Genomic DNA, 12,484 nt, shown 5'->3' with positions numbered 1-12,484 from the left:
CTTATTTCCATTCCTTAATCATGCCATGCTGTGGCTCACAGCAGCCCTTACATCGTTCCAAAGCCAGGTCCAGGGGCCACCAGTATGGCCTCTTTCCCTTGATTTTCTTTGTTTTGTTTTGTTTTCTTGAGACAGAGTCTCGCTCTGTCACCCAGGCTGGAGGGAAGTGGCGCGATCAGGGCTCACTGCAACCTCCACCTCCCGGTTCAAGCGATCCTCCTGCCTCAGCCTCCTGAGTAGGTGGGATTACAGGTGCCCATCACCATGCCTGGCTAAATTTTTTTGCATTTTTAGTCGAGATGGGGTTTTGCCATGTTGGCCAGGCTAGTCTTCAACTCCTGACCTCAAGTGATCTGCCCACCTATACCTCTGAAAGTGCTGGGATTATAGAAGTGAGCCACCGCACCCGGCCCCTTCCCTTGATTTTTCTCACCCCTCCTCTCTGGGAAAAAAAAAAACTCCTTCAGAGCTGTTGACTTGAAGACTTTCTTCCGGATACTGAAGTTCATACCACACATAAGTAATTCAAAACTAAAGCCTATATAAAATCACCCACATCATTTTCTCAGAAATTTCTTGAGTTTAAATTTACTTACTCAGGGAAAGGAAATGAACCTTTCTTTGCCCCTAACTTATGTTTTAGTGCTTTTTTTGTTAAAATTTTAAAATTTTATGGGTACACAGTAGGTGTATATATTTATGGGGTACGTGATATATTTTGACAGGCATACAATGCATAATAAACACATCAGGGTAAATGGGCCTCCGTCACCTCCAGCATTTATCATTTCTTTGTGTTACGAACATTCCAATTATACTTTCAGTTATTTTATAAATTACTGTTGACTGTAATCCTCCTGTTGTGCTATCAAATGCTAGATCTTATTCATTCTTTTTCTTTTTTCTTTTTTGAGACAGAGTCTCGCTCTGTTGTCCAGGCTGGAGTGCAGTGGCACAATCTCGGCTCACTGCAACCTCTCCCTCCTGGGTTCAAGCGATTCTCCTGCCTCAGCCTCTCAAGTAGCTGGGATTATAGGCACCCACCACCATGCCTGGTTAATTTTTGTATTTTTAGAAGAGATGGGGTTTCACTATGTTGGCCAGGCTGGTCTCAAACTCCCAATCTCGGGTGATCCACTTGGCCTCCCAAAGTGCTGGGATTATAGGTGTGAGCCCCGGCGCCTGGCCTAGATCTTATTCATTCTCTCTAAGTAAAGTTTTGTATTCATTAACCACCCCCACTTGCCCCACTCCCCGTTTTAGTGCTTTTAATGGAAATTGATAAATAAACTAACATGACTTTGACATTTATGTGGGATTTATTGTATATGAATATCAGTGTTTTGAAGGAAGCTGATTTTATTATTTGAAAAATGAAAATATTCACAAGCACCGTTTAATTAAGGAACCCACAAGACAACAAAAAACTTTACTGGTTGAAAACAGAAATGAACAGAAATGGAGTATTAGTTTGAGCCAGAGTCTGATTTAGTAATGACTTCAGAATATCAAGCAGCTTCACACAGTATGAAAAACCAGCCATTCAGACATTTCTGAATACAGCAGTCCCTCTTATCTGCAGGGGATATGTTCCAAGACCCCCAGTGGATTACCGGAACTGGGGATAGTATTGACCTCTAAATATACTATGTTTTCCCTACAAATACATACCTATGATAAAGTTTAATTTATAAATTAGGCATAAAGATATTAACAACAATAACTGATAATAAATTAGAAGAATTATAACAATATGTCAGCATCACTACTCTGTGCTTTGGGGCCATAATGAAGTAGAATAAGGTTGACTTGAACACAAGCATTGAGAAACATGACAGTCGATCTGATAACCAAGCCAGCTACTGAGTAACAGGTGAGTGGCCGTAGGCAGTGTGGATACACTGGACAAAGGGGTGATTCATGTCCCAGGTGGGAGGGAGAAAGGCAGTGTGAGATTTCATCATGCTACTCAGAATGGTGCACAATTTAAAATTTACAGATTGTTTATTTCCAGAATTTTTCATTTCATTTTTTTTTTTTTTTTTTTTTTGAGATGGAGTCTTGCTCTGTCTCCCAGGCTAGAGTGCAGTGATGTGATCTCAGCTCACTGCAACCTCTCTGCCTCCTGTGTTCCAGTGATTCTCCCACCTCAGCCTCCCAAGTAGCTGGGGTTACAGGTGTGCACCACCACGCCCGGCTAATTTTTTTTTTTTTTTTGAGACAGTCTCGCTCTGTCACCCAGGCTGGAGTGCAATGGCATCCACCTCCCGGGTTCAAGCAATTCTCCTGCCTCAGCCTCCCAAACAGCTGGGATTACAGGCGTGTGCCACCACGCCCAGCTAATTTTTTATATTTTCAGTAGAGACAGGGTTTCACCATGTTGGCCAGGCTGATCTCGAACTCCTGACATCAAGTGATCCGCCTGCCTCGGCCTCCCAAAGTGTAGGGATTACAGGCATGAACCATCACTCCTGGCCCTCATTTAAAAATTTTCTAACCTTGATTGACCATGGGCAAATGAAACTGCAGAAAGTGAAACTGCGGATAGGGGGGATGACTGTATTCAATAGATTCCGACATTATGTCTGCAAAACACTTGTATGATAAAGTATTAAACTTTTGTTGCTGTTGCAAAAAAAAAAAAAAAAAAAAAAAAGCAGCCTGGAAGATTAGAATGTCATCTTCCTCTGATTTTTGATAGTCAGTGGCATCACACCACACTCTGGCTGCCTATACCTGAAACCTACAGAGTTTATTCTGACTTATGAGCCAAATAAGGTATCTTTTTTCCCGAGTTAGGCAAGGCCACTCTGTATAGTGTGGAGTCACTTTGGGCTTTTCCATCTCACTCTAGGGACAGCCAGGAGCCTGGAACTGGCCTCTGGGCCCATGCAGCCTCTTGTTTTGTTTTTAATAGTGCATCTATTGAGGTGCCCAGGGCATGATCACTGGCCCAACAGCTGTCAAAAGTTCCTTAAGATTCAGGGCTCAAAATGTTTGTGCTGGATAGGCCTTTAGCAAACTTCTCTGTCTTATTTTAAAAATGAGGAAACTGTCAGGTGCGGTGGCTCACATCTGTAATCCCAGCACTTTGGGAGGCTGAGGCAGGTGGATCACCAGAGGTTAGGAGTTCAAGACAAGCCTGGCCAACCTGGTGAAACCCCGTCTCTACTAAAAATACAAAATGAGCCGGGCGTGGTGGTATGCCCCTGTAATCCCAACTACCAAGGAGGCTGAGGCAGGAGGATCGCTTGAACCCGGGAGCCGAAGGTTGCCGTGAGCTGAGACTGTGCCACTGCATTCCAGCCTGGGCGACAAGAGTGAAACTTCGTCTCCAAAAAAAAAAAAGGAAACCGAAATGACATGCTGGAGGGTCAGGTCCCAAGTGACTGTAAAGGAGCTGGTTCAGCCTTGGCTCCCCTTACTCTGCGTCCCCTGCCTAAGACCACCCACGCACCACCTCATGATTTTGCAGGAACTGGTGGCAGAGGAATAAAGGCTTAAAAAGTCTTTACATAGTTTAGGGAAAGTTGCTTTCAATAAGAATTACTAAATTTGCAATTAATAGAAGTGGGAGGCTCAAAATTGTAACTTAGACCATCAAAGGGGCTATAAGCAAACAATTAGCTTAAAAGTTATAATGTCGGCCGGGTGTGGTGGCTCATGCCTGTAATCCCAGCACTTTGGGAGGCCAAGGCAGGCGGATCACCTGAGGTCGGGAGTTCGAGACCAGCCTGACCAACATGGAGAAACCCTGTCTCTACTAAAAATACAAAATTGGCAGGCCGTGGTGGCACATGCCTGTAATCCCAGCTACTCGGGAGGCTGAGGGGGAATAACTGCTTGAACCCCAGAGGCAGAGGTTGTGGTGAGTGGAGATCGTGCCATTGCACTCCAGCCTGGGCAACAAGAGCGAAACTCCATCTCAAAAAAAAAAAAAAGTTATAATATCCCTTTCTCTTAAATAGCCATACTAGACAATGATGGGTATTACTGATGTCCTGAACTTTTTTCAGGGAGAACTACACTGAAGATGATGAGTGTAGTGCAGTACTTGAGCAGCCTTAATATTTTATTGGGAAAACAGTAAGTCACTACACCTGCAACCCTGCCGGGCACCGACACCTCGCGGGCTCACCTGTAACCGGACCGCGTGCTCGTGTTTCCGCTTCATGTCATTGATATGCCAGGCGACTCGCTGCATTGTGTCTATAGCATCAAGCACCACATCATAGCCTTCTGTGTCCTTATCAAGGTGGTTTTCTATTTCCTTAAACAAAAAAGAACGAGGGTTTTTTTTTTTTTCATTTTATTTTCATATAGACAGTGAAACAAATGGCACCGCTATGATTAGTTCCTTATATTTTATTTTTGCTTATTTATTTACACACTATCAGCTGGGTGCGGTGGCTCATGCCTGTAATCCCAGCACTTTGGGAGGCCAGGTGGGTGGATCACCTGAGGTCCAGAGTTCGAGACCAGTCTGGCCAACATGGTGAAACCCTGTCTCTCCTAAAAATACAAAAATTAGCTGGGCGTGGTGGCACATGCCTATAGTCCCAGTTACTTAGGAGGCTGAGGCAGGGAATCACTTGAACCTGGGGGACAGAGGTTGCAATGAGCTGAGATCAGGCCACTGCACTCCAGCCTGGCTGACAGAGTGAGACTCTGCCTCGAAAAAAAAAAAAAAAAAAAAAAAAAAAATATATATATATATATATATAAAATATTTACACACCAGCATCATTCTTTAAGATTTTGAGGCCAGAGATACCTGCAACAAAATGGTAAGACAAGGGGAAAAAAAAAAACAAGGATAGGAAAGATAAAAGTGGAATAGGATTCCAGGATAAACAGGATAAAATACAACATACATGTAGCCCATTGAGTTTCATAGCGATATTATAGTTATTATAACAGACGTGGAAATTGCTCTTATAGCTCTGGAGTTCTGAGCTTCCTGGTGGCCAATGTTATACAGTTCTCAGAAATATAGTTCTCACTCTCACAAGATAAAATGCATACTTATTTTTTTCCCTTATTTATTTAGGAAGCAAAATGTTTCATACAGGACCTTAATATTTAACAGACTCAAAAATATAGCGAAAACTATCTTTACAAAATTATCTCCATAGCAAGTAGACATTTTAGCACATTTTCCTGTAGTCAAGGTTTTAAAGGCCAAATGAAGTTGACTAAAGACAATCCTTGAGAGTGTTGAGAAGGATCTCATGGTTTCAGTACTCAATTCTCTGATGGTCAGAAGTATGTTAGATTAGCAATCATCTTACCACTGGAGGCCCACACTCCCAGGAACGTGAGAGAGGGACAGGATCTTTGTTCTAGTTCTTTTGAGCACATAAGACACTTGTTCCTAGATCCTCAAGAGTCTAAGGATAGAGAATATTGTATATAGTTCCTTTGATTCTTTATCTTCTCAGTGCCCAGCAGAGAGCTGGGTGGTGAATAAGTGCTTATTAAATTGAAACTATTGCCTTTTTAAAGACAACAATAACAGTAATCCTATATTAGTGCCTAAAACAGTAAGAAAACATTGTAATCAATTAGATGGTTCTTGTGACATTTATCATACATAATCAGCTAACGGGTGGAGGTTAAATGTTATGGTGCAACTTGAAGATTAGTTCCATTATTTTGTAGTAACAATGTAAATCTTTGTTTACTTTTACTGAGTACTCAAGTTTTTCATCTAGCTAGAAACTGTAAAAGAATTTACATTTTCTTTCCGTGCTTGGACTAGCTGTTAACAAGATCCTAGATGGCAAATTTAAAAACATAATGATTTCTTCTTTTAGCCTGAGAGACAACTGTGCTCATCAGTAAACAGACTGGGAGGTACAGAGGATATTTCTGTGGGGATTTTCATGGATAGCTACATAACTTTGAAATGATGTGAATGGGCCAGGCACGGTGGCTCACTCCTGTAATCCCAGCACTTTGAGGGGCCGAGGTGGGTGGATCATGGGGTCAAGAGATCGAGACCATCCTGGCCAACATGGTGAAACCCCGTCTCTACTAAAAATACAAAAAATTAGCCAGGCATGGTGGTGCGCGCCTGTAGTCCCAGCTACTCGGGAAGCTGAGGCAGGAGAATCGCTTGAACCCGGGAGGCGGAGGTTGCAGTGAGCTGAGATTGTGCCACTTCACTCCAGCCTGGCAACAGAGTGAAACTCCATCTCAAAAAAAAAAAAAAATGATGTGAATGACATAGAGGGAGCCCTCTAATCAATTATAAAAGCAGAAAACACTTCAAAAGCAACCAGAAGTTAGTTTTGGATTAATCCAACCACTGTTTTTTTTCTTCATTGCCAGCCCTTAAAATGTAGGATAAAGGCTGTTTTTCCTGTTAATTAACTTTTTGTAAGGATCTTGACTTGTTTCATATGCTTAACCGAGATCTTAAACTTTCCTTTTGACTGAAGGCCATCTTACTGTCTAGAAGACCATATTAGAGATTTTTGGGACACACCAGTCTTAGACATTATATTAACAGAATTCAGCAGAGATGTGTCCTGAGACAAATATTATTTAAGAGTTATTTGGACACTGATTTAGCAAATAAATCCCACTAAATCTAAGAGGTCATACGGATCAATTTAAAAATTAAAATAATATCCCTGATGTGACTTCATAGAACATAAGATTCTCCAAAGATGAGCTACCCAGGCAAACAGACAAAGCTAAGAAATTGCTAGTAAAGATGGACAAAGTTTTCAAAATTTTAAATGTATATGAACCAAACAAATCTGGAATAATTATCCAAATTAGAAACCTGGAATCACTTAAAAAGAGATACCTATAAACTGCAGGCCTGTTGACGTGGAGAGGAACTCTGAATTAAAATTCCTTTAAAAAGGGGATTTTAATGTATCATAAAAATAATAAAAAACAATAGCTTACTTTTATCAAGTGCTTGTGAGCCACAGTGAATGTGGGCAACGTATAAGATTTAGACCCAGGCAGTCTTTCCCAGAGCCCTGTTTCTAACCACTCTGCTGTACTGTCTTTCTCCTGCTACAAAAGTAAGCAAGCCCTACTTACAGAATGAAAATTACTTGCGGTAATACTTTTTTTTTCCATTCGCATCAGTTTTTTGGAGGGTAAGAAATAAGAATTTGAGGACGGGCGTGGTGGCTCACATCTGTAATCCCAGCACTTTGGGAGGCTCAGGCAGGAGGATTGCTTGAGCTCAGGAGTTCGAGACCAGGCTGGGCAACATGGTGAAACTCTATCTCTACCAAAAATACAAAAAAATTAGCCAGGCATGGTGGTGCACACCTAGAGCCCCAGGTACTCAGGATGCTGAGGTAGGAGGATTGCTTGAGCCCAGGAGGCGGAGGTTGCAGTGATCTGTGATTACACCACTGTACGCCAGCCTGGGCAACAGAGCCAGACCCTGTCTCAAAAAAAAAAAAAAAAAAGAAAAGAAAAGAAAAAAGAATTTAAGAGCTATGATTATCGTTGTTTCTAAAGCCTTCTTGCATTTTGCAAAAGTAGTGGAAAATAATATAAGAGGAGATAACTGAAGTGACGCTAAGCCCAGCTTGGAGATCACTTATCACTCTGCTCATCTGTCTTCTCCCTTTTCAGCCCCTTCTCTTTGCTCTCCATACAAAAGCCAATCTATGACAAATAGCTTTCCCTTCCAATTGCCTACTGAATCGGGGCTGATGGAAACATTACAAAATCTGTTTTTCATTCGCATGATAGCTCCCTGCCTGAAACTGTCAGTGCACAGGGCGAGGCACTCCTAAGCCCCATCAGAATCAGAGCTAAGATTAATCTCTTCTCTTGGCTGTTGTCAATGGGGCTACGGGCCTAGAATATAAATATCTCCAAATCCTCAAAGCAGATTAGTCAGTTGTGAAATATGAGTGTGGGAAATGTTTCCATATGTCCATAGCATTTTCTGGTATTTTCCACCAAACTTAATATATACACACAAAACTCCCATCCCCTGGAAAGTGCTCATGCCAGGCAGAAACTTACATGCAGAAGGAGATGATACTTGAGAATCCGCTGAACTGGTTTCAAGAGATAGGACCCCAGAGGCAGCGAGTGTTTCAGAGTTTCCTGACGCTCCCTGAAGAATTTGGCCAGTATCTTGTTCCTCATACACTCTGTTAGCACAGCCACGGACCTGCAGGAAGAGTCCATGTTTTTATCTAAATTGTAATGCTTTATGTGGGTATTCAAATTTTAAATGCTATTGCAAGTGTAAATGCCCTAAAATGAGTAGGGTAGCTCCAGAGCTGTGGTCAGATCAGCATGCCTTTAGGCAAATTGGAGAAAGGGTTCCCTCTGGGAGGGTGAATTAGAAAAAGGCACCGGACCCACTGGCAGTGGCACCCTGGGCTCATGGCTTCTAAGTAACAAGTTCCTTCCTTCTAGGAGACGCGGCCTTGTGCCAGGGCCCATGGCTTGGCAAAAGTTATTGGAGAGGGATTTTAGCCCCTAGCTGCGCCCAATCTGGGTATCTCTGTGCAGTGCTCACACAGCACGTCGGTATTCCATTTCCACGCGTTAGATTATAAAGACTAGGCACTTTTTGTACTAAGAAAAAGGAGTTCCTTCCTGCTGGAAGATCCAGCCCCCCGTCAGAGCATTTAATCACCCCCTCTGCTGGCCCCTTTTATATGATGCACAAACTGTGACCCTATGTGGTAGGCTTGCTTAGAGACCTCTTCCCCTGGGTAACTTCCCTGTGAGAATCTTTGAAGAGGTCTCCCTTTCTACCTCCAAATTGTTAACCTTATAAGTGATACAGCTTCTGGGAAAGCCAGATAGTCTTGCTCCTACGGAGTGCGCCTCAGATGAGGGTGTTCCAAAAGTGGGTTAGAATTCTTTCCGCAACCCAGATCCCCCCGAGGTGATGAGCACAGACGAAAACATCTTAAGGCAATGGTTGAAACAATGCTCGTATCACAAAGCCAGCTAACGGCTTGTGCAGTCACACGCGTGTAAATTAAAAATCTTTCGTTCGCAAAATGTAGAAGGAAGCAGGTGGAAATAATTTCAGCCCTTTTCTCCCTAAGTCAGTGACATTTTCAGGATTAATTGAGAAAATCAGACAGAGCCAAACAACAAAATAAGGCTGTGAGGAAGGAAGTTAAATGGAAGTTTCGTAATTAAACCATTAGAATCCCTTTTGTGCCAATCTACTTTGAGAAATATCTATTCACACTGATTTATTTTCCCCTTGAGTCAAGATTTCAAAACTCTCCATCATGTAACCTAGGAACATTTCTAAGGTTCTTTAGAGTCAGAATCGGCTGCTCTGTAGCCCTTTGGCCACCTAAAGGCTTGGGTTCTTGCTCAAGGGTAAGAACCTGCAACAAATTAGGAGCATGCTGAGCTCCAGGTTCCCGGAAGTCTTGGGTACAGGCAGGCATCTGAGGACAAGGACCTGGCTGGGTTTGCGTCCCTCCCTGGGGAACAGAGTGTGGGAGCTTGTGGCTCTTCACAGCAAAATCACTGAGGTGTGACTGGTATGAAGATAGTGGACACTGTCAAGATGTGCCTGTGACATTTAATATCACCAGACAGGATCCAAAGGGGGAAGGAAAATTTGTCAGATGGGCTGAAATACCTGGCATTTTTGGCTTGTTAAGTGGGAGAAGGGAACTTTGGGTCTCAGAGAGTAAAGTGATGGGATACAAGTGGACAAGATAAAATATTTATCTATGAATATGAAAACCACACAATTGGGCAAGAAATGGACATGTCTTCTTCACTGAGAACAACTTTTGAGTACCTCTCTGCTAACACTTTTCTTCAAAGTCAGACTCAATTTTTTTTTTTTTTAAAGACAACTTTCTCACCAGGCACAGTGGCTCATGGCTGCAATCCCAGCACTTTGGAAGGCCGAGGCGGGTGGATCACTTGAGGTCAGGAGTTCGAGACCAGCCTGGCCAACATGGTGAAACCCCCTCTCTCCTAAAAATACAAAAATTAGATGGGTGTGGTGGCATGTGCCGGTAATCCCAGCTACTTGGGAGGCTGAGACAAGAGAATTGCTTGAACCCAGGAGGCAGAGGTTGCAGTGAGGTGAGAACATGCCACTGCACTTCAACCTGGGCAACAGAGCGAGACTCTAACTCTAAAAAAAGACAACTTTCTCCAGAAAATTATCCTTAACCTTCAGCTTTTACTACACATTACTGAGTTTGTCCTGTGTTAATTTATATTTATTTGATCTTCCAGAACATGCTCTTCCACCATTGCATTTAGTTGCATCTGACCTTCAAAAGAACAGAAACTGCTTGAAGGCAAGGGTATTGTTTGCTATTTCCTGCCAATATACACCAGGCTTGGGACGGTGCTCCATGAATGACCAGCTCTTAAAAATGTCCTTGCACAAATGATTTGCCTCTCCCCTGGCTCTGAAGCAGCCTGCCATATAAAGAAGCTGTTTTTATTTTGTACTCTTCTTAATAAATCACAAAATCTTCTGAATTTGCAATTTTGGAAGTTTAAGAATTATTTCTTTAAATGATATGTTTATAATGAGATTTATAGAAACATAATTCCCCAAACAAGCTCCTGTATCATTTTAGATTCTCATAATTGGATCTGGAACTTTGATGATTCTTCAGAATCTGAATGTTTTTTTTCCTTCCCTAAGGAAGAAGTTTTGTGGAGAAGATGAGGGCTGATTCTGTGATTTCTCTGAATTAGGGTGTGAGGCAAGCTGGCTTTTGGTTTAGAACCATGGGATTTAGCTGGGGCATCCTGCAATCGCCTGATGTTTTCAGCATTAAGATGGAAACAAATACTTTAAGAGAGAAAATTGCTTAAGTGAAACCATGTAAATTAACTATGGGTGGGTCTACAGATAAGGATGTGTAATAAATGTTCTAATATGCATGTGGTTCTATTTATTTATTTTGTTTTGTTTTTTTTAGGGGAAACTGGGGAAAGCAGGGGTCCTCCAAGGAAAAGTATTTGCCAGAGTAAGTTGAGCCTCTAAACTTCTAGCTTCTTGGGTCTTTTTTTTTTTTTTTTTTTTTTTTTTTTTTTTTTTTGAGACAGAGTCTTGCTCTGTTGCCAAGGCTGGAGTGCAGTGGTGCTATCTCAGTTCACTGCAACCTCCGCCTCCTGGGTTCAAGGAATTCTCCTGCCTCAGCATCCCAAGTAGCTGGGATTACAGGGATGTGCCACCACGTCTGACTAATTTTTGTATTTTTAGTAGAGACGGGGTTTTGCCATATTGCCCGGGTTGGTCTCAAACTCCTGACCTCAGGTGATGTGCCTGCCTTGGCCTCCCAAAGTGCTAGGATTACAGGCATAAGTCTCTGTATCCAGCCGCTTCTTGGGTCTTTAAGAGACAGGATCTTGCTCTGTTGCCTGGGCTGGAGTGCAGTGGTGCAACAGTAGCTCACTGTAGCCTCAAACTCCTGGGCTCAAGCTATCCTCCTGCCTCAGCCTCTTGAGTAGCTCTAGGACTACAGGTGCACACCACCACATGCAGCAACATCCCGGGTCTTTTAATCCACACTGGCTTTCTGGGGTTACTCCTGACAGTGGGGAACAGGGGACCTATTTGTTTTTCCTTCCAGAAGTAACACTCAGGGCTCAGCGTGCTGCCTTCTCTTCTAGGTGGATCCCACCATCCACTTTATCGTCAGGGACCTGTCTACCAAGACTGGCTACAGAGTGTGTAAAGTCTCCCTAGCTCTCTTCTTCCTGGCTGGTCCTTAAGATAACTCAAAGTCTGGTGGGGTGCGGTGTAATTACAGCTACTCAGGAGGTTGAGGTAGGAGAATCACTTGAACCAGAAGGTAGAGGTTGCAGTGAGCTGAGATCGCGCCACTGCACTCCAGCCTGGGTGGCGGAGTGAGACTCTGTCTCAAAAAAACAAAACAAAACAAAACAAAAAAACCCCATAACTCAAAGTCTGCTAATCATGTGGAAAAAAAGGAAAATAAAAAGGCAGGGGGAGAATCACAAAGTTTCAGAAACTTTTCAAAGGACATACTCATAGCAGCACGAGGTCTTAAAAGTCAGAGAAGAAACCTTGGTTCAAATCCAAGCTGGGCCATTCATCAGCTATGCACCCCTCAGAGAATCACCTTACCTATCAGAGCCTCAGTTACTTCATCTATGAAATGGGGAAGGGGCAGGGGTGATGGTGAACTAGCACTTATGAAGAACTTAGGAGGGGCCAGGCACTGGGATAGGTGCTCTGCTTAAAAAAAATCCCTCAATGTCTCTGGATTGCTTTGAAAAGTTAAATTCAGTATTTTGTATTTACAGCATTTAGCACAGGGCTTAGGAATTAGTAAGTGCCCAATAAATGTCTTCTGGAGAAAAAAAGAAATTCCTACCGTTGTAGCCCATCATCTTAGGCCCAACTCCCTTACTGAAATGGTTAATACATTGTCCAAGGATGCTTCCTACACTGCCCTTGTGCCATTGATTTCCAATGCAAGGAAAACTGAACCAACAACCCAGGCGAGATGAC

The 12,484-nt window shown here is 42.8% G+C and overlaps 1 protein-coding gene across 10 annotated transcripts in view; it reads right to left on the bottom strand.

Annotated features, from left to right (window-relative positions):
• The window catches only part of PLEKHG1 (pleckstrin homology and RhoGEF domain containing G1), a 243,781-nt gene that overhangs the window by 34,786 nt on the left and 196,511 nt on the right, over positions 1 to 12,484 (bottom strand). For all 10 annotated transcript variants that reach the window (NM_001329804.2, NM_001029884.3, NM_001329805.2 and 7 more), the window contains 2 exons: positions 8,011 to 8,161; positions 4,139 to 4,270 (listed from right to left, as the gene is read on the bottom strand). In NM_001329804.2, the coding sequence (NP_001316733.1) occupies positions 4,139 to 4,270; positions 8,011 to 8,161 (283 nt within the window). The remainder of the gene's footprint in view (positions 1 to 4,138; positions 4,271 to 8,010; positions 8,162 to 12,484) is intronic.

The sequence above is a fragment of the Homo sapiens genome, chromosome 6 (assembly GCF_000001405.40).
Source record: "Homo sapiens chromosome 6, GRCh38.p14 Primary Assembly".
NCBI classification, from domain to species: domain Eukaryota; kingdom Metazoa; phylum Chordata; class Mammalia; order Primates; family Hominidae; genus Homo; species Homo sapiens.
The sequence above is the reverse complement of the archived record's forward strand: the minus strand, read 5'-3'. Positions and strand labels throughout refer to the sequence as shown.